Source organism: Homo sapiens, chromosome X (genome assembly GCF_000001405.40).
Source record: "Homo sapiens chromosome X, GRCh38.p14 Primary Assembly".
NCBI classification, from domain to species: domain Eukaryota; kingdom Metazoa; phylum Chordata; class Mammalia; order Primates; family Hominidae; genus Homo; species Homo sapiens.
The window spans coordinates 145,852,916-145,879,443 of NC_000023.11; the positions used below are offsets into that span (position 1 = coordinate 145,852,916).

General features: G+C 39.5%; 1 long non-coding RNA gene across 1 annotated transcript in view, besides 2 other annotated features; it reads left to right on the forward strand.

Moving 5' to 3' along the window:
• The window catches only part of LOC107985703 (uncharacterized), a 31,957-nt gene extending 9,226 nt beyond the window's left edge, over positions 1-22,731 (forward strand). The window contains exon 3 of the long non-coding RNA XR_001755968.1: positions 22,460-22,731. This is a non-coding gene — a long non-coding RNA (uncharacterized LOC107985703). The remainder of the gene's footprint in view (positions 1-22,459) is intronic.
• Positions 5,016-6,215: an enhancer, noted in NCBI's record as "MED14-independent group 3 enhancer chrX:144939449-144940648 (GRCh37/hg19 assembly coordinates)". NCBI's record gives its function as "activates an origin of replication core promoter dependent on BRD2, BRD4, P300/CBP and CDK7 cofactors, and independent of MED14, by STARR-seq in HCT116 cells {active_cell/tissue: HCT116}" and the evidence as "EXISTENCE:reporter gene assay evidence [ECO:0000049][PMID:35650434]".
• Positions 12,715-13,243: an enhancer, noted in NCBI's record as "OCT4-NANOG hESC enhancer chrX:144947148-144947676 (GRCh37/hg19 assembly coordinates)". NCBI's record gives its function as "activates a minimal SCP1, AML or CMV promoter by ChIP-STARR-seq in naive H9 embryonic stem cells {active_cell/tissue: H9 hESC(naive)}" and the evidence as "EXISTENCE:reporter gene assay evidence [ECO:0000049][PMID:30033119]".
• Positions 22,732-26,528: the final 3,797 nt, after the last annotated feature.

Genomic DNA, 26,528 nt, shown 5'->3' on the forward strand with positions numbered 1-26,528 from the left:
AAAACAGCTCATCTCATTTCCAGGAAGTGATTTTTTACAACATTCATCAAACTCTCTTTCCCAGAGTATAGGTCATTTTAAAAGGGAAGTAGCAATGTGGATATTGGTGTCATGTTTATTCATAGACTTTAAAGCAAAGCATGTCTGAGCCAGAAAGGGTCTTAAAGATCATTTAGTCTAACTTCTTTTTATAGAGAGAGAAAGTCAGGGAAAGAGAGAGGAATGCATTTGCTTAAGATTGCCCAGCTTAAGTGGAAAGAAGCACTGTGTGTGTGTGTCTGTGTGTGTGTCTGTGTGTGTGTCTGCGTGTGTGTCTATGTATGTGTCTCTGTGTGTATGTGCGTGTGTGTGTGTGCATGTGTGTGTCTGTGTGCGTGTGTGTCTGTGTGTCTGTCTGTGTGTGTCTATGTGCGTGTGTGTCTGCGTGCGTGTGTGTGTCTGTGTGTGTCTGCGTGTGTCTGTGTATGTGCGTGTGTGTCTGTGTGCATACGTGTTTGTGTGTGTCTGTCTGTGTGCATGTGTGTGTGTGTCTGTGTGTGTCTGTGTGTCTGTGTGTGTGTGTCTGTGTGTGTGTGTGTCTCTGTGTGTGTCTGCGTGTCTGTGTGTGTGTGTATGTGCGTGTGTGTCTGTATGTGTCTGTGTGCGCATGTGTGTGTGTCTGCGTGTGTGGACGTCTGTGTGCGTGTGTGTGTCTGTGTGTGTCTGTCTGTGTGTGTCTGTGTGTGTCTGTGTGTGTCTGTGTGTTTGTATGTAGGGAGGGAGAGAGAGAAACCGAAAGAGAGAAGCACAGAAAGAGAGGAGAGACAGAGAGTGCAAAAAGGGGGTAAAAGAGAAAGAGAGAGGGAGGGAGAGAGACAGAAAAAGTTATTAAACCATGGCTTCATATAACCAGTGGCAACCTGTTCTTTCATCTGAGGAACTAGTGTTTTGGTGACTTAGGGTTTGATGAATATAACCAAATCTATTTGGCAGTAACCAAAGCCAACAGCTATTGAAAGCATGGGAAAATGTTGTTATTTATGTTCATGTTCACATTAATACCAGCATGGATTTGAAATGAGCCAAATTTAAATATGGACTACACTTAAGACTATGAAGAAATAAAAACATCTATGAGGCTCAGGTAAGAAAAGAACCCTTGGAAAAGTCTTACTGAAAACATTTGCCTTTTCAGACATTTATCCATAATAGGGGGGAATTTATATCACCACTAACTGTTTGCATTATTTAGTATGGTAAATGCCTTAAAGAGCCAAATCAGCAATTAATCTTCTTAAAAACAAAATAACTATTTCAAATTTCCTTCGATTAGCAAGAACATTCCATCTGTATGTTATTTGTCTCTAATAACTCATTGTAAGCTAACATGTTTTAGGGCAATTTTCAAGTATTCATTTGTGCTGGTGAGGGAGTCGAAGGATCTCTTAGCTGGCTGTCACATTCCACCCACATCTGCTCTTTCCCTCAGAGCCATCAGCAGGGTTGAATAATGTTTATGAAGACACACAGCAGTATACAGCAGGCTGAGGCATGGGCAAGGCTAAGAAATATGTAAGGAAGGAAGAATAGAAAAGGGGGAAATTGACTTTGAAAGGAGAGTGAAAAATATAGATGAGAGAGAATATTAGAAGAGGATTAAGAAAGGGCATCAGATATCAGATCGTGACATAACAGCAAGTTGAAAACCCGTGTACTAGCCCGTTATGAATGCTTTTTTACATTCCCAAAGCTTGTAAAAGATCTTTTTAAGACAAATGAATGTTATCTTTTAAAACATAAACTGTTTTGGAAAGTATGAAATATGCATTTTGCTCTTAAAAAAGCACCACTTTACATCCATAATGCATCAAAAGCCTACAGGATTTTATACATCTTTACAAGGTGAACTTTCACACAATACTAAGAAATTTAGTTCATTGGACAGAAATATGAAATTATTAAATGTGTTTTAAGAGAGATTCGGTGCTTTCCGAATTTTATTTAAACTTGTGATTATCACTCTAGTAAAAAAGTATTATCAAAACCACAAGCAACCAAGCAAATGTACTAAATAGGTGCTGTTTCCTTCTTCCCACCAAACGGCAATTCAATTATGCTGCGTAGTTTTTTTTGTCATTTTGGTTATTTTCTCAGAAAGCTGAACTGTTGTGAATAGGACCTTGCTGGTGTCCCAGGAACTTTTCTATAATACACACTCTTGGCAACTTAGTTCTAGATAGTGTCCAGGAACAATCTGGTTTTAATTCAGAAACAGTCCATTGTATCCCAAGTATCCATCAACCAATGAAAGGGCAAATGAAAAGTGGTCTATCCATACAATGGAATATTATTATTCAGTCTTTTAAAAAAGGAAATTGGCTGGGCATGGTGGCTCACACCTGTAATCCCAGCACTTTGGGAGGCTGAGGCAGGCAGATCACGAGGTCAGGAGTTCGAGACCAGCCTGGCCAACACCGTGAAACCCCGTCTCTACTAAAAATACAAAAAATTAGCCAGGCGTGGTGGCACGCACTTGTAATCCCAGCTACCCAGGAAGCTGAGGCAGGAGAATTGCTTGAACCCAGGAGGCAGAGGTTGCAGTGAGCCCAGATCACGCCACTGCACTCCAGCTTGGGCAACAGGGGCAAGACTCTGTCTCAAAAAAAAAAAAAAAGGAAATTATGGCACATGCTACATGCTACAACATGGATGAACCTTGAGGACATCATGCTAAGTGAAAGAAGCCAGCAACAAAGACACAAATACTGTGTGATTCTACTTATTTGAGGTTCCTGGAGTCATCAAACTCATAGTGAGAGAAAGCAGAATGTTGAGTGCCAGGGGCTGGGGGGACGGGGGTGGGGAAGTTAGTGTTTAATGAGTACAGAGATTCAGTTTGGGAAGATGAAAAGAGTTCTGTGGATGGATCGTGGCACTATGAATTTACTTAACATCACTAAACTATTCACTTAAAAATGGTTAAGATGGTAAATTTTATGTTAGCTTATTTTACCACGATTTTTAAAAAGGAAAAAAAAAAAGGAGAAAAAGTAATAGGCCACTGTAGCACCTCCAGGACTTGTGCCATCACATCTGTTTCCTTTAGTCCTTTGCAGTCCCTTTAAGATGTTGTGGATCTTAAAGAACATCCCTTAAACTCCTCAGTCACAAGTGTTCCCCTGGCTGCTACTTCCAGAGCTCTCCTTGCCTAATGTTTTCTTCCCTGAAGAATAATAACTAAAATTGAGCCTACTAGAGCCCTCCTCAAGTTAGCCCCCTCTCAATTAGCATTCTCCTTATAATTACATAACCTCTCAGGTTGGAGACCTTCCTTGCTGAGGGGCTGAGGCATTAATGGATGAGATGGGTGGAGTGCAAGTTTTCCCAACATAAGAAACAGTGTGACTCTGAGTCATCTGGGGTATTTGATTGCTTAATGGAGTTCAATGGATGGCATCTAACCTTTGGGAATAGTTGTTCCTCTGCTTCGTTTCTCTCTGTAGAACACATTAGTCATTGTCCCTGATGTGGTAGGTCAGCCCCTTGAAATTTTGCCTTTAAATAAATAGTCCACTTGCCTGCATTCTCCTCCTACCCTTCTGTGCTCATGCAGAGATGACTGTCTTGATACCAGATCGGTCCATTGCCAAGATGCCATGGCACACGCGGGACAGAGCCAGTACTCCTTACAGACTTGATGGGGTTACAACAGCTGGGTACCTGGAGAGGCCCATATTATCAGCCTTGTCATTCAATTATTTTCTATTTATTCAGCCCCATATGAAATCCTTAAATTTTTTATGAAAAATCTTAGTAGCACAGAAGGAAAAAAAGTGTTATTAAGCTAATAAAACAAACCTCCATTGGAACTAACTGGGAAAGCCGGAGAAATTAACATGAGAAATATAAAACTAATTAATTCCTTGCTTGACACAGTTAAAGATTGTTTAGATTAGACAGAGCAAAAAGGGTGATATCTTTTTTAATAATAAAATAAGCCTACACACCAATATACATTTAAATAAATATGACAGAATGAGGGCATTATGATTTAGATCCTTCGAGCATACTTGGAACAATACATTTAGTAGACATTTGAAAATGGCCTGAAGAACTCACAGTGAGTGTCATATGGAAGAGGCAATAGGGGAAACCTGGCTTAAGGAACTAAGAGTGAAATGACAGCAACAAACCTGGACCCGATAAATACTATAATCCTTTCTCTTAAGAGTTTGCTCCTCTCTCTTGGACAGGGGGAAACCTTTTGAATTCAGTTGGCCAGAATGGTAGGTACTCATTTTTATAAAACTGTCGCCTCCACTGTTTTGGGGGTACTTTGTAATTTTCAATAAGAAGAATAGAATTTTATTGAAACCAGATTCCTAAAGCCTCATTTATATTACAGATTCGAGTTCCGTATCCTTGTACTGAAGCAGAGGAAGTTGTCTTGCGTTATGTTCATAAAAGTGATAGGACTATAAAAACGTTAGTTTTAATTTGGGTACAAGAAGGGCCAGATATTTTATTGCCAAATCCACGCACTTAGAGAAGTAGCACTCTTTCATCTTGCTAGGGACATTGTTTCAAGAATTAAAGCAACGTAGTATTTTTCAAATTGATCTGAAGGATGAAGTGTGGCTTTGCAAAGTGCCTGACATTTCCTTGAGGCACCTTTGGGTCAGTCATTACCAGGGATTAGCCCAGGGTTCTTTATACATCTAGGTTCCAGTATCCTATAAAGCACCTATAAAGTGCTTTATAGATCAGTGCTTTATACATCTAGGTTCCAGCATCCTTCTCTCTACAGAGTAGATGCACTCAGCACAGTTGGTTGGAAACCAAATAGCTTACACATTCTATAAAATGAGATCACTTTTTGCCATCGGAAAAAAAAATCACAATCTATATAGAAAATGCTTGGCAATGAAGAATTAAGATAGTGTCAGTTCTGCGCTCTGTATGTTACAAGGTTGTCAAAGCAGGTATAGGCCTTTAACAATTTTTTCTCAGTGGAATGGACCCTTGTTTTCTACTTACAGAACCAGCTATTTGCATCTTTATCCACTGACACTTATCCTTCTTCATCTTTTATTCTAGATGTTTTAATTAATTTTAAATGGAGTCATAAAAATGTTGGACTTGGGATTTATAATTCACAACATAGTCCAAATCCCTCATTTTGAAGATCACAAAATATGTATTAGATGAAATGACTTGCTTAAGGTCATGTAACTACTTAGCAGTGTTACTGTGGGGGTCCTTGCTCCCAGAGCTCCCAAGATGGTGGCGGGCTGCTTCCAAGATGGCGGCAGGCCTCTTCCAAGATGGTGGCAAGCCTCATGTTCTCTGACCTGGGGTTCTTAGCCTCACGGATTCCAAGGAATGGAGTCTTGGGCCATGCAGTGAGTGTTACAGCTCTCTTAGAAGCCGTGGGTCACAGAAGAGAACCGTGGAACCCAGTGACTAGTGTTCAGCTCAATTAGGATGAACCCGGGCACTTAGCCGTGCAGGAACAATGGCGAGCCTTTAGCCCAATCAGGAGTGGCAACAGGAGCACAGCGGACACCCTGCCGTATCTGGAGGGATGGAAGTCAGCGGCGGGTCTGCAACTGCAACAGCAGCAAACAGTAGTGGTGGACAGCAAGCGAAAGCTCAGCTCAAGCAGTAACAAACATGGACCAGAAGAGTGTGCAGCTGCAAGATTTAATAGGGTGAAAACAGAGCTCCATTACAAAGGGAGGGGACCCAAAGAGGGTAGCCGTTGCTGGCTAGAATGCCTGGGTTTATATCCCGATCATTGTCCCTCCCACTGTGCTCTCAGGCGATAAATGATTGGCTCTTTCTTTACCTCCTGTTTTTGCCTAATTAGCATTTTAGTGAGCTCTCTTTACTACCTGATTGGTCGGGTGTGAGCTAAGTTGCAAGCCCCGTGTCTAAAGGTGGATGTGGTCACCTTCCCAGCTAGGCTTAGGGATTCTTAGTCGGCTTAGGAAATCCAGCTCGTCTTGTCTGTCAGTAGCAGACTCTCTTTTTTACTATAGTGTGATTAATCGAGGTCGGGTAAAGTACTACTCTGTAACACAGTCAACCAGGATTTTCCTCAAAATCACCTATGAAGGATGTTTTCTAACAGAAAATAAATGGAAAGGCTCTAGAGAAGCTTTATATTTGGTGTATGCATTTCTTTTCAAGTTTTATTTCCATCTTTTCAACCCCCATTTCTCTGCCCTCTATTCAACCCCCATTTCTCTGCCCTCTATCTTTTCAACTTTTAAAATAAAAGTAATACATACATCTGATGATAAAAATGTAAACCATACAGAAAGATTTACAGTAAATCCCTATTCATCCCCCCAAATTAAAACACTTTCATGTTTTAATCTACCCTTTCTTTGGCTAGTAATATGTATATACCCAAATTGTGTGCTTATTTTAAAGAACGTTGTTGAAATTAGTTTTAAAATATATACTACAGTCCCCTTTTCAGGAAACTTATTTGATTTACAAATAAGATGCTTGTCAGAAAAGTTTGAGAACCTGAAATGATAAGTTGAGATCAACTATATTCTGTTTTTAATTACGTAAACTGAAGAGATTGAGGGTTTTAGTAAGGTTTCTTGTTTGCTTTTAAAGATTTTTTTTGTAATATAAATTTATATTGGAAAATAGAAAATTCAGATTATGAATAATGAAGTAAGGAAGAAAATCACCCCTAATCCCAGAGCCCTGAGATGATATCATCCATTTGGATGTCACAATTTATATATTTCTCTAGACTTACAAAAACATTCAGTGAAGTAGTAAAGTGAATTACTTTAACAGCTAATACTAGAGAGAGTTCTTTTTAGGAAACGGACTGTATCTGATTAGGTAAATGCCTTAATAAGTACTTGAGGATGAGAATGATGAGGTCCCATGCATGTGATTAGAGGAAGGAAATGAAATAAAAAAACTATTCTGGGAAAAAAAATAAATAAAGGACAGGGATTCGATGAGAGATAAAGTGAAGAAATTGAAAGTTGAGCAGGCTGGTAGGAAGGTGGCACCTTCAAGGGAAGGGGGCTGTAAGGAATTCTTTGTGAAAGAATAGGCAGAGGAATTTCAAGAACAAGGGTGTTAAATAGCTGCCCCTGAATTCACTCAAGTCATCAGCAACATATCTACAAATGCCTTGGTTGAAAATGTAATCTCCATGAGAGTGGGAAACTCCTCCTTAACAACAATAAACTATCTTAGAATGAACATAAAGACCCAACCATTAACAAAGTAATTTTTTTAATTCATTCAATATTTGTTGAATGAATAAAGAAATGGTTTGGGAAAATGAAATAAAGGAATAGTGACCAAGTTTCAGGAAGAGGAAGAGAAGCACAAGAATTAAAAAGAAGCACAGATTTTGAATCAGAAGTGATCATGAGAATATAAATTGTCAGGAATTCCCAAAAATATTGGGGAAATACTAGACTTCCCACAGGACTTGGGATGGCAGATCAACACATTTTTTTTTTTTTTCAAATCCTAAATGCTAGAATGACTTCAACGGACGGCAAGATCTTTCTTTCTCTGCTTACATGTAATTTAATTTTATAAAATGGTTATCATGCTATCCAATAAATGTTGTAACTTTTTCTTCACTTAGAAACAAGTGTGGATTTACATTAATTTGAATGGTCTCGTATTTAGTGGATACAAACTATTTAACTTTTTGCTAGTTTTCGACTGTTCACTATAAAAGAGCAATGCTGCACTGAACACTCCTGTTAATTAAAATAATCACATAAATATAAAAATAAAAATTTAAACTATTACTGGAAAACAGAAGGATCCCATCAACAGGCAAGAATCGCAACATTCCGAAGGGTGTGGTATGGATAGGAGAAGGTCTAGGGCTATATTATTCTGTTGTTCTTCCACATAAGAATGAAAAACCCAGATGAGAGGTAAATAGACGGTATCCCTGAGCAGACCTTCTTCGAATTCCCATGACCCCTGTGGAAGTGAATGTAAGTAAGACCCTGGACCTATGGGTCAGTGGGGGAAGGGGACAATACAATGATCTGAGAACTACTCCAGCACCAGACCACTAAGTGACAACTGGAGTATTCACTCGCCTACGTAATACCCCTAGCAGGGGCGATGTGCTAAAAAGAGAGAGGCCAGTGCTGTAACAGGTCATGATAGGCAGCAACGACAATTTTCAAAGAGGTCAGTCTTCAAGCTAACTTTAAGCTACCACCAAAAACGTGGAGAGAAACTGCTGCGCGCAGCACTATCTGCAGGAATCCTCTCCACGTTTATTTACAACGAACTTGATCCTCAATCTAGCAAAACGAAACTTTAAAAATGTCAAACTTTCACTTTTCTTTTCAAAAATAAATTATGTGTACTAACTAGCAAAACTCAGTAGCAACTGCATGGTTAGGATGTGAAAACAGAACAATTCACCAATATGAAATATTCAACAATATGAAAAGATTCAGTAGTCCAGAAGAAAAAGACTAGTTCAAGGAATAAGGGTAGACTTCTACCACTGAAATAGACTTCATCTATGGAACTGAAGGAAACATTAGAAAAATTATAATTTGTATTCTCCAAGAGTTTTAAGAGAACATTTTATAGATTAAAACAAAGCAACGAGAAATCACGCAAGATGGCTTTTACATAAAATATGCAATTACAGAATGAAAAAAAACCAGTACCATCAAGGCAATGAACAGTAGACAGATTATTACAGAAAACGAAATCTGTAAAATAGAAGAATTTAAAAATTTCTCCTGAAACCCAGAGAAAAGGTTGAAGAGATAGAAACACAATATGCAAAGATGTAAAGGCCGTGAAATTCTTAAGTACATAGGATTGGAATTCTTGAAACAGAAAGGAACAAATGAAGGAGAAGCAATAGAGAAATAATAGGAAAAACTCTTTGAGTTTAGGCTAATTAAGTTTTAGCTAGTTAAATCTTCTTTGGAGAAAAAATACAGGATGTCCATTCATGCTGCTGAAAGGAATACATAGCGTAGCCAGTCTTTTTCTTTTGACATTTGCCAAATAGCAAAGAGGAAATCAGCATTTTTTCCCTTGGGCAAAGAGACAGGAAGCCGAAAATATCAGCTGGCACTTGGAAGGACAATCATAGTGATTCCTTGGATGACGTGTAAGAAGGAAGATAAAGAAAGATCTGAAAGAAGTATGAATGTCTGAATGGAAGCTTGCTGGTTTCCTGCCAAAGATAAATGTCTCTGAAGATCACTGGTCACCTTCAGGCAGAAAACTTGAATTTTAGGCCCCTCCTAAGAAACAAATAGTCCCACAAATGCCTTCTTGGCCAAACCAAACCAAAAACACTGACAACAGATGTCACATAATTTCTCACCGTATCTGTATCTATCTATATTGATTATATGTGTGATAACCACAAGCAATGAACCACATTTCCACCCATAAATGCTTAATTTATGTCACATGCCTCTGTGAATTATATACTATTGGTCATGTAATAACTTCTAAATTCCAACTGAATTTAATTCAATACGTATTAACCATATACTTAACGGTGTGCCAAACATGTATATGAATTATGTGTTTCATATTCTTTTTTCATATGGAAATCAATGACAGGCTGATCTCAGACAAGTGAAAAGTATCATCCAGCACCAGCATGAAATCAGATCATTTTACTGTAATTATCACAAGAGTACCACATTAGTTGTCATTCCTGTGAAAGAGTTGGAAATAGTTACTCTCAATCCTCCCCTATGAAAATGATGAAAAAGCATTTTTAAGTATTCTATTTGAAAGAATGATTTTGCAAATAATAATATTATATGCACCTCCCATACCAACTAAGGTTCTCTTTCACATTAAGAGCTGGATAAGATCAGCTTGAGATGCCATTCTGCATCATGCCAAAGTCCAAAATGTTCCCCCCAGTTTTATGATTTTCAAAGTTATGGGTTTGGATGGGGGATAGTGGGAGTGCCACAAAATCCCATGGTGATCAAGGGTTCCCAACCCCTGCTGTATTTAGCCAGTTGATGGATTGCCTCAGTCTCTTAAGGACACTGTGCCTGTTAACACAGAATGACAACTCACATAGAAAATTTAGCCTCTTCCCTCAAAAAGAGAAAAAAACACCTACTCACACAAAGCCTACTGCAGCATCTTTCTTCCTAGAGAAACACAGGAAAAGGGACTAGGCTTTCCAGGTCCAGGCGTTTCTTAAGAACTTCCACATCATCTTAGGTCACTTTCGCTTGCCTGTGGAAGAGGGAGTAAGAAGATGAGAGAGTGAGAGTGGTGGATAATGCACTCAGACAGAAACCCCATGGCTATTCAGCTCCATCTCTCTCAAGCCCTCATCAGCTGATATCTGCAGGTGCAACTGGGATTACACCTGAGTCAATCTTGACCATTTCTGGTACTTCCCTAAGAGCCCATATTCCCCAGTCTTGCTGTCCTAGTTGCCCTAATCTGGCAATCATGGCTGTGTCTTGTTCAAGATGTATCAATATTAAACCAAAACATTTCCTTTACACCCTTGCTTGCAGAGTCCAGTTGGCTTCACTTCCACTTCTTTTCCAGATAAATAATTCATTTTTCTTATTGCATTTGGAGCTTTATCATAATCCACACCTGCTGAGGACCTAAAAGAATGCAGAGCCTGACCTAGGCTGCTTTTTCTGGAGGCTGAACCCAGCTCTGTACTCTGACCCACCAACCAGCACTATGTCCTCCAGATCTCTTGTTCCTCACCTGAAAGCCTCCAAGGGCACTAAAGTATTCTGCTTTAGACTCTAAGGGCTGTTTGCTTGGATGGCATGAATGATCTCAATGGTGGGACCTCACAGGCATTCCATCAACTCACAGCAAATCTCAGACCATGTGTCATAGCCATTGTTCAAAGACTGTAATCCAATAATATTCCCCAAAAGTAATCTAAACTTTGGATAATGGTTTTTCAAAGAGGCTGGAAAATAATTTCCCTAAAAGTGCATCTAAATGATGAAGCCTACTCTCCAGACTGGCTGAAATGGATTCTCACTCTGAATAATGTTCCCCCAGTAAATCAGAGTGACAGACTACAGTCAGTTTCTCTCACAAACCTCTCCCATCCCCTGATATACTTCAGACCTTACTACAAAACTGATACCAGTTTATTGAATGGACTGAAATTGGTAAGGCACAAATAGGAAATGACTTCATTCTTCTTCCAGCACTATTCCCTACCCTGCTTTTATGGATCTCCCTGCCCCACCACTGAAAGCATAGCTTCCATAGAATTGTTTTTTCCTACATAGTTACACCTACAAAAAGCCTCATGACACGTTTTCAGGGATTTGAATGTCCATCCCAGTCCAAATCAAAACTTCAATCTCACTTCCAATACAAAACTTCTATTTCCTGCACTCATCCCCCTCTCCAAGTTCAGGCCTGACCTGTGGCTTAGGCACCTGAAACTGAGATGGAGAAGTAGCCTCAGTTATTTGCTTTTCATTTGTTATTTTCCAGTTTTCCCCAGGATCAGGTTGAGAGAGGTGGTTGAGAGAAAGGAGGAATGACTATTTATTTAGCTGTAAATTCCTTGTGTGGCTAGTGACCCAAATGCTAGTTCCTTTTTGGAAACATTTATAGACTGTTCAGAAAATTGACTGTAGGGTCTTCAGCACTACATGGTTCCTTAAAATGTGAGCAAAGTATACTCTGGCAAAAACATTGTGAACCCACTCAGTTCTTCCCCATGACACTATATCCCGGGTCCCATTTCCGTAGAAGACTGTGATAAGAAGCAAGATGGCTCAAGCCTGGCTCCCTTCTATGGCATCTACTAGTTTGGGAAGAATACTCCAAATTCTTGAAATGCCAAGTAGGAAAAGTGAAGGCTGCCCCACTGACACTCTCTTTTCATCCTGCCACTACAAGCAGTGCCAAACAACATTCAGGTGAGAAGCAAACACAAGTGTCTATGTTCACATTTTTAAAGACACGTATCAAGTTTCCCGAGAATTATTCTATTATGTTTCACTCTGATGTCAACGTGGGGGCAAGGGGTGATGCTTCTTGTAGCTTAGCAAACATCCAGCCAGGGAATCATATATAAGCCTCCCCAGTTGCAGACAGCCCCAACGGTTCTAAGTGTTTGTCTTAGAGCCCTTTTCCTGGGCTGAGGATCGAGGAAGGAAAAGTGTAAAACCATACCCCCGCACCAACAGGCCTACCTCTTCCTGCTATTAATTCTCCCCCACTTAAATGGATGCACCTAATTTAATGAATTCAGAAATTTCTAGTCTTCTCTCTCTACAGGCTGGTAGCAATGAGCAGGCTTGCAAGACCTGTTAGCCACACTTTGGTAAGCCTTATGGGAACGTGTCTAGCAAATACTCTTTAGAAGGTGGAGTTATTTATTACCCAATGTCCTCAGATTTGGCGCATTAACCATTAACCAAAAGTTCTAAAGTCGTACAGAAAAGATCCATTCAACATCCTGTTGCAATAGCAAGAAATGGGAGAAGCATACATAGCAAGGATGTACCATATGTGCATTTAACTTAAATTGTAAACATGTGGGCTGGGAAGAGAGAAAGAGGGAGGGATGGTGGGTGACAGGGGGAGGAGGAGAGGGAGAGGGAATGAAAGAATGAACAGAAGAAAACAAGAATAATTAAAATGATGAGGGTAAATCTTCATGACATTTTACTTCATAAGTAAACTTTGCAAGCCTATGTCCCCAGAATGAACTCAGTAGATGGTGCACCTGAGTCGAATATTTTCGGAATCTTAGTGCTGTGACTTTTGAAACACGCGTATCTCTCTGTGCAGAGTGTGATTCAAGAGTTTAAAAGATTCTTCATTTTTACTCAACATCGTCCCTGCAATAGTTAATTTTATGGGTCAACTTCACTGGGCCGTTGGGTGCCCAGGTATTTGGTCCAACACTATTTTGAGTGTGCCTGTTAGGGTGGTTTGGATGAGATTAACATTTGAATGGCTAGGTTGATGGCCCTTCCTAATGTGGGTGGTCCTCGTGCAATCAGTTAAAGGCCTGAATAAAATAAAAGGCCAACCCTTCCTTGAGTGAGAGGGAGTTTCTCCTGCCTTGAGCTGGGACATCTTTGTGTCATGCCTCCAAACTTGATCTAAAACATTATTAGCTTTTTCTGGATCTCGAGCTTGCTGGCATTCAGACTGGAACTTAACCATCCACCAACTTTCCTGTTTCTCAGGCCATTAGACTCCAACTGAATCTACATCATTGGTTTTCTTGGGTCCCCAGATTGCTGATCGCAGCTCTTGGGACTTGTCAGCCTCGATAATTGCATAAGCCAATTCATTACAATGAATCACAATCTCTCTCTCTCTCTCTCTCTCTCTGCCTCTGTCTCTCTCACCACCCTATTAGTTTTGTTTATCTGGAGAACCCTGACTGCTAATATAGGCCTTAAAGACAAGCCAATTAATTTATCTGATGACCAAATGAAGAAACAATCCACATCAACACTGAAGGAAAAACTAGCTATGCTGGAATTACTGAAAGACGTGCTGAACTGTACTTTTGGAGGCAACTTAAGGAGTTTCCAAAGATAATTTAATTTTAGACTTGCTACTTTTCCTCAAATGGTTAAGTTTAATCACTTCTAAAACTTTTTGAACATACCAATCTCTCTTGCATGCACGTGGAGGCTCTCTGTCTCTCTCTCTCTCTCTCTCTCTCTCTCTGTGTGTGTGTGTGTGTGTGTGTGTGGTATATATATCACACACACATATAGTCATGTGTTAGTTAACGATGGAGATATGTTCTGAGGAATGCATCCTTAGGGGAGAACATCATAAACTGTCCTTACAAAAACATATTTAAGATTATATGAAAGCATTTTCTGAAATATGCTTAATTTCTCAGGACAAAATGTTTGATTGCATGGCCAGTTAAGTGAGTTGTTTATCAAAAAAATTTGTAATTTCTCGACCTTAGTTCTGAATACACTCTTCTCTCCCTGGGACCTTGAAAATTAATTTGGGAGGTATGTTGTAAAGCTTTAATACTTGGGATATGTTGTTTCTAAAATAACACAGAGTAGAGATGTAGAGATAGTTTCAATATTATGAGACTTTGAGGATTTTCTTATTTAATAAAACTTTGATTTTAGGTTCAGGGGTACACATAAAGGTTTGTTATATAGGTAAACTTGCATCATGGGGATTTATTGTACAGATTATTTCGTCACCCAGGTATTAACCCTAGTACCCAACAGATTTTTTTTTTCTGATCCTCTGCCTCCTCCCACTCTTCACTCTCCAGTAGGCCCCAGTGTGCCTTGTTCCTCTCTATGTGTCCACGTGTTCTCATCATTTAGCTCCCATTTATAAGTGAGAACATGCAGTGTTTGATATTCTGTTTCCGCATTAGTTTGCTTAGGATGATAGCCTCCAGCTCCATGCATGTTGTCACAAAAGACATAATCTTGTTCTTTTATATGGTTGCATAATATTCCATGATATATATGTACCATGTTTTCTTTGTCTAATCTGTCACTGATGGGCATTTAGGTTGATTCCATGTCTTTGTTATTGTGAATAGTGCTGCAATGAACATTCACATGCATGTGTCTTTATGGTAGAATGATTTACTTCCTTTGGTTATATACCCAGTAATGGAATTGCTGGGTCAAATGGCAATTCGGTTTTCAGCTGTTTGAGGAATCATCACACTACTTTCCACAATGGTTGAACTGATTTACACTCCTAGAAACAGTGTATAAGTGTTCTCTTTCTCTGCAACATCACCGGCATCTGTTATTTTTTAACTTTTTAATAATAGCCATTCTGACTGGTGTGAGATGATATCTCAGTGTGGTTTTGATTTGTATTTCTCTAACAATGAGTGATATTGAGCTTTTTTCATATGCTTCTTGGCCACACATGTCTTCTTTTGAAAAGTGTTCATGTCCTTTGCCCACTTTTTAATGCTTTTTTTCTGCATATCTGTTTAATTATCTTACAATGCTGCATATTCGACTTTTGTCAGATGAATAGTTTGAAAAACAATTCTCCCATTCTGTAGGTTTTCTATTTACTCTGTTGATAGTTTCTTTTGCTGTGCAGAAGCTCTTTAGTTTAATTAGATCCCATTTGTCAATTTTTGCTTTTCTTGCAGTTTCTTTTGCTGTCTTTGTCATGAAATCTTTGTCAGTTCCTATGTTCAGAATGGTATTGCCTAGGTTGTCTTCCAGGGTTTTCATAGTTTTGGGTTTTACATTTAAGTCCTCAATCCATCTCGAGTTTATTTTTGTGTATGTCGTAAGGAAGGGGTCCAGGTTCAATCTTCTGCATATGGCTAGCCAGTTATCCTGGCATTATTTATTGAATAGGGAGTCTTTTCCCCATTGCGTGTTTTTGTCAGCTTTGTCAAAGATCAGATGGTTGTAGGTGTATGGCCTTATTTCTGGGCTCTCTCTTCTGTTCCACTGGTCTATGTGTCTGTTTTTGTGCCTGTACCATGCTGTTTTGGTTACTATAGCCCTGTAATATAATTTGAAGTTGGGTAATGGGATGCCTCCAGCTTTGTTCTTTTTGCTTAGGATTGCCTTAGCTATTTGGGATCATTTTGCATTCCATATTAATTTTAAAATAGTTTTTTTCTAGTTCTATGAAGAATGTCATTGGTAATATAATAGGAATAGCATTGAATCTGTAAATTGTTTTGGGAAGTATGGCCATTTTAACTATATTGATTCTTCCTATCCACGAGCATGAAATGCTTTTCCATTTGTTTGTGTCATCTCTGATTTCCTTGAGCAGTATTTTGTAATTGTTATTGTAGAGATCATTTACCTCCCTGGTTAGCTGTATTCCTAGGTGTTTTATTCTTTTTGTGGCAATTGTGAATGTGATTGCATTCGTCATTTTGCTCTTGGCTTGGCTGTTGTTGGTATATGGGAATGCTAGAGATTTTTCTACGTTGATTTTGTATCCTGAAACTACTGAAGTTGTTTATCAGCTTAAGAAGCTTTTGTTCTGAGACTATGGATATTTCTAGATATCAAATCATGTCATCTGCAAACAGGGAAAATTTGACATCCTCTCTTCCTATTTGGATGTCCTTTCTTTCCTTCTCTTATCTGAATACTCTGGCAAGGACTTTCAATATTATCTTGAATAGGCGTGGTGAGGGAGGGCATCTTTATCTTGTGCTGGTTATCACAAGTAATGCTTCCAACTTTTCCACATTCAGTAAGAAGCCGGCCGTGGGTTTGTCATCTATGGCTCTTATTATATTGACATATATTTCTTCAATACCTAGTTTATTGAGAGTTTTTAACATGAACGAATGTTGAATTTTATAAAAAAACTTTTGTGAATCTATTGAGATAATCATGTAGTTTTTGTCTTTAGTTCTGCTTATGTGATGAATCACATTTATTGGTTTGCATATGTTGAATCAAACTTGGATCCCAGGGATAACGCCTACTTGATTGTGGTGGATTAGCTTTTTAACGTGCTGCTGGATTCAGTTTGCTAGCATTATTGGTGAGGATTTTTGCATCAGTGTTCATCAAAGATATTGACCTGAAATTTTCTTTTTGTGTGTGTGTCTCTGCTAGATTTTGGTGTCAGGATAATGCTGGCCTCATAAAACGAGATGGGGAGGAGTCCCTCTGCCTCAATTATTTGGAATGTTTCATAGGAACAGTTCTAACTCTTCTTTGTACATCTGGTAGAATTTGGGTGTCTTTGGTTGATAGGCTATTTATTACAGATTCAATTTTGAAGCTTGTTATTGGTATGTTCAGGGATTCAAATTCACCTTGGTTCATTCTTGGGAGGGTGTGTGTACTGTTCAGGAATTTATCCATTTCTTCCAGGTTTTCTAGTTAGTGTGCATAGCAGTGTTCATAGTAGTTTTTGATGGTTATTTGTATTTTGGTGGGGTCACTGGTAATATCCTCCTTGTTGCTTCTGATTGTGTTTATTTAGATTTTTTCTCTTTTCTTCTTTATTAGTCTAGCTAGCTGTCTATCTATCTTATTAATTTATTCAAAACACAAACTCCTGACTTGTTGACCTTTTGAATGATTTTTCATGTCTTAATCTCCCTCAGTTCAGCTCTGATTTTGGTCATTTTCTCTTGCTAGCTTTGGGGTTGGTTTGCTCTTGCTTTTCTAGTGTTTTTAGTTGGAATGTTAGCTTGTTAATTTGAGATCTTTCTTACATTTTCATGTGGGTGTCTAGTGGTATAAATTTCCTTTTTAACACTGACTTAGCTGTGGATGAAAGATTCTGGTATGTTGTATCTTTGTTCTTATTATTTTCAAAGAACTTGATTTCTGCCTTAATTTCATTATTTACCCAAAAGTCATTCAGGAGCAGATTGTTTAACTTCCATGTAACTATGTGATTTTGAGCTACTTTCTTCGTCTTGATTTCTATTTTTATTGCATTGTGGTCTCAGAGAGTGGTTGGTAGATTTTGGGTCTTTTTCATTTGCTGAGGATTGTTTTATGTCCAATTATTTAGTCTATTTTAGAGTATTTGCCATGTGGCAATGAGAAGAATGTGTCTTCAGTTGTTTTGGAGTGGAGAGACCTGTAGATGTCTATCAGGTCCATTTAATCCAGTGTTGAGTTCCAGTCCTGAATATCTTTGTTTTCTGCCTTGATGATCTCTCTAATACTGTCTGTCATGTGTGGAAGACTCCCACTATTATTGTGTGGGAGTCCAAGTCTCTTTGAAGGTCTCTAAGAACTTGCTTTATCAATATGGGTGATCCAGGTGCATATGTATTTAGGATAGTTATGTCTTCTTGTTAAATTGAACCCTTTACCATTGTGTAATAACATTATTTGTCTTCTTTGATCTTTGTTGGTTTCAAGTCTTTTTCATATGAAATTAAGATTGCAACTCCTGCTTTTTTGTTTTCTGTTTTCTTGGTAGATTTTTCTCCATGCCTTTATTTTGAGCCTATGAGTGTAACTGCATGTGAGATGGGTGAGAAAAGGCACAGAGTGACAATCTGGATGAAGAAGCAAGGCCCAATGGTATGCTGAGCCTTGCTTCTTTATCCAGATTGTCACTCTGTGCTTTTTAATTGGGGGCATTTAGCCCATTTACATTCAAAGTTAATATTAATATGCGCGAAATTGATCCTGTCATCATATGGCTTGATAGTTATTATGCAGACTTGTTTTTGTGATTGCTTTATAGTGTCACTGTTCTGTGTACTTAAGTGTGCTTTTGTAGTGGCTGGTAATGGTCTTTCCTTTCCATATTTAGTGCTTCTTTGAGGAGCTCCTGTAAGGCAGGTCTGGTGGTAATTAATTCTCTCAGCATTTTCTTGTCTGTTAAGGCTCTTGTTTCTTCTTTGCTTTTGAAGCTTAGTTTGGCCGGACATAAAATTCTTGGCTGGAATTCCTTTTCTTTAAGAATGCTGGACACAGGCCCCCAATCTCTTCTGGCTTACAGGGTTTCTGCTGAGAGGTCTGCTGTTAGTCCAATGGGTTTCCTTTTTTAGGTGACGTCTCCTTTCTCTCTAGGTGTCTTCAACATTTTCTTCTTTCATTTTTACCTTGGAGAATCTGACGATTCTGTGTCTTGGGGATCATCTTCTTGTAAAGTATCTCGCAAGGGTTCTCTGCATTTCCTGAATTTGAATATTGGCCTCTCTAGCTAGGTTGGGGAAGTTGTCAAAGATGATATTCTGAAATGTTTTCCAAGTTGCTTCCATTCTCCCCATCTCTTTCAGGGACATCAATGAGTCATAGGTTTGCTTTCTTTACATAATCTCATATTTCTCAGAGATTTTGTTCATTCCTTTTCATTCTCTATTTTTTATTCTTGTCTGACTGCCTTATTTCAGAAAGCCACTCTTTAAGTTCTGAGATTCTTTCCCCAGTTTGATCTATTCTATTGTTAATATTTGTGATCACATTTTAAAATTCTGGTAGTGTGTTTCTATCAGGGCAGTTACATTCTTTTCTATACTGGCTATTTTGTCTGCCAGTTATTGTATCATTTTATTGTGATTCTTATCTTCCTTAGACTGGGTTTCAACCTTCTCCTGAATCTTGATGATCTTTGTTCTTATCTATTTTCTGAATTCTATTTCTGTCAGTTCAGATATCTCAGCCTGGTTAAGAACTCTTGCTGGAGAACTAGTGTCATTGTTTGGAGGAAAGAAGGCACTCTGGCTTTTTGAGGTGTCAGAATTCTTGCGCTGGTTCTTTCTCATCTTTGTGGACTGATGTTCTTTCAATCTTTGAAGTTGCTCTCATTTGGATGTTTTTTCTTTGTAATTCTATTTGATGACCTTGGGAGTCTGAGTGTGTTATAAGGTGGGTTTAGTTGACTGGCTTCATTTCTGGAAGTTTTTAGGGGGGCAAGGCTCAGCTCAGGACTCCTAGACTGCACGCTCTATCTATGGGGAAGTTGTTTTGGGCCCCGGCTTTGTTCTCTGGGTCCTCGATGTTAAGAACCTACTGTGCTTGAGGGGTCAAGGTGTTTGCGGACCACTGGTCACAACACTTCAAGTGGGTGGTGCCAGCCAAAGCATTTGGTAGGGGAGTGACAGAAGGATACATTCTTGTTTGCACATGTCAGCAGCAGTGGCAGTAGCAGTGCAGTGGGGTGCCCGTTTGTCAGCAGTGGCAGGATGCTAGTGGGTGCCAGGCTGGCAGCCTCTATGTGGGCATTTGCAGCAGTAGCAGGGGGAGCCTGGCTCTAGGGGGAAGGGGGACCATGCTGGCAACTATGCATGTTTTCATGCTGGTGGTGGTGTTAGCATGGGGGCAGTGCACTGGTGGGCACAGGACTGTGTGCACCCTCTGTGCACGTTCATCTGGGTGATGATGGCTGCTCAGGCCGGGGGCAAGTCTGCTGTTTCCTGTGCCTAGTTTTGTACCCACGGCAGTATTGGTGCAGGAACAGGGTACCTGTGGGTCCTGTTCCCTCCAACACTCGAATGGCAATAGCAGTGTGGTGGGGAAAGGGGAGTTGAGGTGCACTCATGCTGGCAGCAGTGACACACCAGCGTGCACATGCGCATGCGTGCTGGCAGGGAAGGAGAGTCAAGTCTGCCCGTGTGCAAACGCACTGGCGAAGTGATGTGGGAGGTGGCTGTGGGAGAGCATATGCAGGCAAAGTGGTTCAGGGGAGGCTTCAGTAGGGCAGGCATGGGCAGGCTAGTACATGTATGTGGGGGTCGCTCTGCTGGAGCTGTCTGCCAGTCAGGCACAGCTCACCAGAGTAGGAGCTATGATTCAGTCTCCTAGGAGGTATCCCCCCTGGCATCCAAGCCTGCGTGAACAGGCTGGGGCCCCTGGAGTGGCAAGCAGACCAAGGGGTGCTCAGGTCTGATTGGCCCCATCTCATCAGCAAGACTGCCCTGCAGTATTCAGGTCTGACCATTCCTTAAGGCTGAAATCTATAAGAGCAAGTCAAGCCCAGGGGGATCAGTGTCCCTGGCCATGCTCTACTACAGACACTCTTGCACTAACCTCTCTGGGCTGTGTGCCGGCTGGAGTTCTGCCCCTACCTCTTCTCTAAGCAGCTCTCCCTGCCTACTCAAATGTCTGTGGTGGTTGTGGGATCTCCTTCTGCCAGGATTCCAGAGGCCTTTGGCGAGCGCAGGTTGCTCCTTTCCTGTGTAACTCACCCCTTCCCCAGGAGTCATTTGGGGCCAGGAAGGAATCCTGGTACACAGTAGCCCTGTGCAAGGTTTCCAGCTTCCTCCCCCTTCAGCCCAGCATGTGTGTCTTCCCTCTGTCCACTCTCATTGCCTTCCTTCTGAAGATCCACTAGGAGTGCACCAGTCTCCCCGATGTCTCTGTCCCTCCGTGACAGATGCTCCTCCTGACTGTGTCTAGTTAGCCATCTTGCCCTTCTACTTTGGGGATTTCAAAAAAGCATTTAAAGGCTCTATTCTGGACCACTTGATGTGATTCTTCAGAAGCAAATCCTAGGAGGTCATACCCAATAATTGCTAAATATGTTGAGTCTCTTCCATAGTTGGGCATCTTTGCATAGATTCTTTGGTTATAATATAAAAGCAAGGAAGCCTAATGCAGACAACTTTCCATTATCAAAGGTGGTAGATACAGTCAGGGTCAATTAAGGCACTGTTGAAAACTACCCACACTTCCACCTGCTGAAGGAAAAGGAAAACTGATCCAAGGTTAAAGGCATCTTATTACCAATATTCTTCCAGATTGTTATGCCCTCATCCTCATCCATTTTGACTTATTTTTTCCCTTGATACTCTCAGGACTTGAAGCCCTTTGCTTTATACTGCACTCCTTCAAGCCTATCTTAAGGTTTTCTTAATTTGCCTACTCAAAGCATGCAATTCCTTCACTTGTCAGATCTCATTCAGGCCTCTGCACTCTCAACTTGGCTACTCCCCTTAGCTTAATGCTCTAGAGCTCCAGGTAGGAGATGCTATTGACGCTACTTCTAGTACCACAAGAGGGAGAGGATTTAATTAGGCTGGGCGAAGTAAAATAGAAATAATTTTGCACATTATGAAAAGCAACTTATGTCACCTTAGTGACACCTTTCCAAGAGTTAATGCTTGTCTCTAAACTGTGTGTATTGGTCTGTTCTCGTGCTGCTAATAAAGACATACCCGAGACTGGGTAATTTATAAAGGAAAGGGTTTTAATGAACTCACAGTTCCACATGGCTGGGGAGGTCTCACAATCACCGCAGAAGATGAAGGAAGAGCAAAGGGATGTCTTACATGGCAGCAGGCAAGAGAGACAATGTGCAGGGGAACTCCTCTTTATAAAACCATCAGGTCTCCTGAGACTTATTCACTATCACGAGAACAGCACAGGAAAGACCTGTCCCCATGATTCAATTGCCTCTCACTGGGCCCCTCCCACAACACATGGGGGTCATGAGAGCTACAGTTCAAGATGAGATTTGGGTGGGGACACAGCCAAACCATATCACCATGTCTAATGATTACAACTATCTGCATTTGTTTACCATTATTCAGAGAAACACAAACATATGTGCATGCATACCCACACAGGTAGATGTATGGATGTCCACCAGTGGTCAGCAAAATAAATAATATAGTGATGAGACAGAAATTTATATAATTAACTTACTGAGTGTAAATTGTTAGAACACAGAGCATGGATAATTATAACTCTCTCTATATAATACACATGATATATGTAACTAGTTACAGTTATATGTATATAGCTATAGATGAGTGTGTGTGTGTGTGTGTGTGTGTGTGTGTGTGTGTGTGTGTATAGTTTTATATACAGTGTTGTGCCCCATAACAATATTTGGGTCAATGACAGATTGCATATATGATGATGGTTCTATAACATTATAATAGCACTAAAAATTTCTGTGATCTAATGATGTCATAGCATAGCACATACAATTATGTATAGTATATACTACTTGATAATGATAATGAATAACTATATTACTGGTTTATATATTTACTATACTATACTTTTTATCCTTGTTTTAGAGTGTGCTTCTACTTAAAGAAATGAAAGTTAATTGTAAAACAGCCACAGGCCGGTCCTTCAGGAATTATTCCTGAAGAAGGCACTGTTATCATAGGAGATGACAGCTCCATGCATGTTATTGGCCCCGAAGACCTTCCAGTGAGACAGCATGTGGAGGTGGAAGACAGTGACGCTGATGATCCTGACTCTACGTAGGCTCAGGCTAATAGGTGTATTTGTGTCTTCGTTTTTGATACAAAAATGTAAGATATAAAAATATTTTAAATAGAAAATGCTTATAGAATAAAAATATAAAGAAAACGTTTTTGTACATTCATATATGTTTGTGTTTTAAGCCAAGTGTTATTACAAAACAGTCAAAATCTTAAATAACATTAAAAGGTTATAAAGTAAAATAGTTACAGTACGCTAAGGTTAATTTATTAATGAAGAAGGGAATTTTTAATATAAACAGTGTTAAGTGTACAGTGTTTATAAAGTCTACACTAGGCCTTCACTGTCACTTGCCACTCACTCACAGACTCACCCAGAGCAACTTTCAGTCCTGGAAGATCCATTCAAGTGTCCTCTGCAGGTGTACCATATTTTATCTTCTATAACATATTTTTTCTGTACCTTTTCTAGGCTTACATATGTTTTGAAGCAAAAACACTTACCATTGAGTTACAATTGCCTACAGTATTCCATACAGAAACATGCTGTACAGGTTTACAGCCTAGGTGCATTGGCTATACTATACAGCCAAGGTGTGTAGTAGGCTATACCATGTAGGTCTGTGTAATCACACTCTATGATCTTTGTACAATGATGAAATCACCTACAGACACATTTCTCAGAATGCATCTTGCCATCAGTTGACACGTAACTGTGTGTATGTATATGTGTGTGTTTGTATGTGAATGTAGTTTTGGAAAATAGGATAATTTGCCCAGCTTTACAAACATGGTTATTTTGTACAAAGAAATCCTCAGTCATTATTTTTCATTAGTAGTTCACCAGAAGAGTTGTCATCGGAAGACCAGATTGCTTATCTTTTTGAAGTATTTTTCCCCTGATGGACAGTTCTTCTTTTCTCCTTGAAACAAATTTATAGAGCAGACCATTAACTGTTCTTTTTACTACCTTCAGTTAAAAAGTTCTTCAGCTGTACTGATGTCAGATAATGTACATTTTTATATAGCCATAAAAAGATTTGTCAAGTAAAATGCTCATGCCTCTTAAAGAACTAATTCTCTGAGCAGGGTCTCCCCACCGCCTAAGTCATTTCCTGTTGGTTAAGAAGCCGTAGGAACTCTTTCAGGTCTCTAACAAAACTACTCAGTCTATTGCCAAACTATCATTTGTTAGAAACAGCAGCTAGTGAATGTTTCAAATAGAACACAGTTTTTAAATGAGCTCCCTGTGACACAGGCAAATATAAGCAGTGATTTCTTAGTAAATACTGATATCTCTAGAAAATTCAGCTGCATAGACCTTGTTTTATTGATGCTTAAGGAAATTCATTCAGATGGCTTGAGCCTAATGAATACGGATGATGTAAATCTAGCTGAACTCAAGTAAATTAAACCATCTACTAAAATACAGTAACTACTAGCAATGCATTTCTATCACTGTTTGCACCAGGTTCTCCCCGCCCAAGTTGTTTGTCACACAAAATGTGACCATCTATTACCCAGCTTAAATTATTCCCAAGTCTAGCGTAGCAGTCAAATGGCCCTTCTAGCCATTAAAAACATCCAGCTGCAGAATTACTTTCAAATCAGCACTATTGACTTTTGTATAAAAGGTTTGTAAATACAGTGGATAAATGAGTGAAATGGCAGTTTTGCCCTGGATCCTGAACTGGCTGCTCAGTGGAGTTGCTTCCCATTTCAAACGCTTTCCTACAAGAAATCATGAATCTTTGCACAAGGTCAGCCACTGTCTGCTTCACTATGAAGAATGCCAGTTAAAAATTCTAAGGTTAATATGTGGGAATGAATAAGACATGAGCTAGTTTTATTTGTCCAATTCAACTTAGGCTGTTAACTGTGAACTACAGTGAGCTTAATTGCCACTGGCGATAGGAGTTTGTCTAAAGGAGATAAATGGCTGAAGAGGAGCTTCAAGCTGTGAACATGGAAAAAGAATCTCAGATAAAGTGGAAAGTTGCCTCATATTTCCAGGAAAAGTTTACTTTGTTGATAGATTTTCCTTTCTTTTTCTAAATTATGAAAACATATTTTGAACTCACTTAAGTTAATAGTTTCTAAACTGTGCTCAGTAGAAGCCCTCATCGGCCACCTCATCGAAGAGGGGCCCTGGAAAGTGGGGACACTCTCTTCCATAGTCCCCAAAGTTGCTTTCTGTATTTTTTACATAGTGATCTTTTCTACAATATTTCAGTGAACTCTATTACTAAAAGAAATAAAACAATTTCACTGAATAACTTCCCTTGCTAGAAACCATGATTTTAATTCACTCAAAGTTCTGCTAGCTGTGAATCATTTGTTCTCATTACGGGCTGTGTGGAAACTAGTGGACATAATTAGGATGTCTGCTCTACAAAGAAGCTATTGCTTTTTGCAAAGATGAGACTTGATTTTAGACTGAAGAGTTCACTTTTGGCATTCTGCTTAATCTGTCTGAAAAGCCTCTTCCTCCTTCTTTAATTTTTAGAAGGGCATTTCTAAATGACTGGAATGCCTCAAAAGAAATTTTGGATTGAAAATGTCACCTGGGTTTCCTCTATCCATAAAGCCACCAGACAGCAGAAGAAAGATGTTTGTCTTGAATAATCAGCTATTTAATTTCGACGCTGGCAAGTCTGAGCATTTTTTTGGTTTATTGATAATCTACATGAACTATTTAAATTGCCATGACTTTCGTTTGCTAAAAACCAAGGTCCTTGCTTTTAATTTGAAATAGTTTACATAAATGAACACATTACAGAGTGCTTGGAGCTGTAACTTACGTTACTTTGGACCCAAATGTGTTCTTTGTTCATGTAAGGGTCAAAGTAAATTACAGTAGACACTGGTTTCTTCCCACTGGGTTGGGGCAAGTCCTGTGGGAAGATTCTCAAAGGTTTGCCCTAAGGTAGAAGGATTCTTAAACTGAGTCAAGGCCGAAAGGGCGTTTATCCAAGTCAAACTGAGACTGTATAGCTTAGACGGGGAACCAGAATCACTGTCATGTGAAGCCAAGGTAGAATATAATAAAATGGTGCTAAGCCATAATTCCAAAAGGGGACGTGAAGGCAAAAACAAGAGACAGGAGCAGCATAGGTAACCTGGAGTGGAATGTTAGACGCAGGATCAAATGTGAGTATTGGGTATAGTTAAGATGAAATGCAAATTTATGAAGAAGAAAGCCACATGTCCCCTTTCAAAATCATGAATCAGTCATTTACTAATGGTATAGTTTTGGGTATGTGTGTAACTAACTGCTCTAAATATTGGCTTTCATATCTTTAAGCTGTGGATATTGATGCCTACCTTATGGATGTGTTGTAAGGAGTCAATGTGTAAAAATAACTACTAGGCCGGTTACTCAGGAGGCTGAGGCAGGAGAATCGTTTGAACCCGGGAGGCGCAGGTTGCAGTGAGCTGAGATTGCGCCACTGCACTCCAGCCCGGGCAACAAGAGTGAAACTCCTGTCTCAAAAATACATACATACATACATACATACATACATACATACATACATACTAGGGTTTTGGCACACAGCAGGCAATCAACAGCCACTGTTATGACTATAGTAAGCTCTTTTTTTTTAACTAAGAGAAAGACAAGTAATTTTTTTCTGCCTTGAACAACATTCACTGAGGGAGCCCTAGATGTCGTGAGGAACTATCAAAGCAAAATGAAAGCCAAATACAGTCCTTAGAGAGTGGAATAATGTTTATCAATAATAAAAGATAACATTTATTTTGTGTATCCTCTGTACTAAGTTTTGTGATACTAATGCATTGTATGCATTATCTTATGCAATCCTCACTACCGCCAGTAAGATTGGTGGTTACTGAGCTCACTTTGCAATAAGGAAACCCGGGCCCACAGGAGTCAACTTGCCTAGGGTCCAGAGTA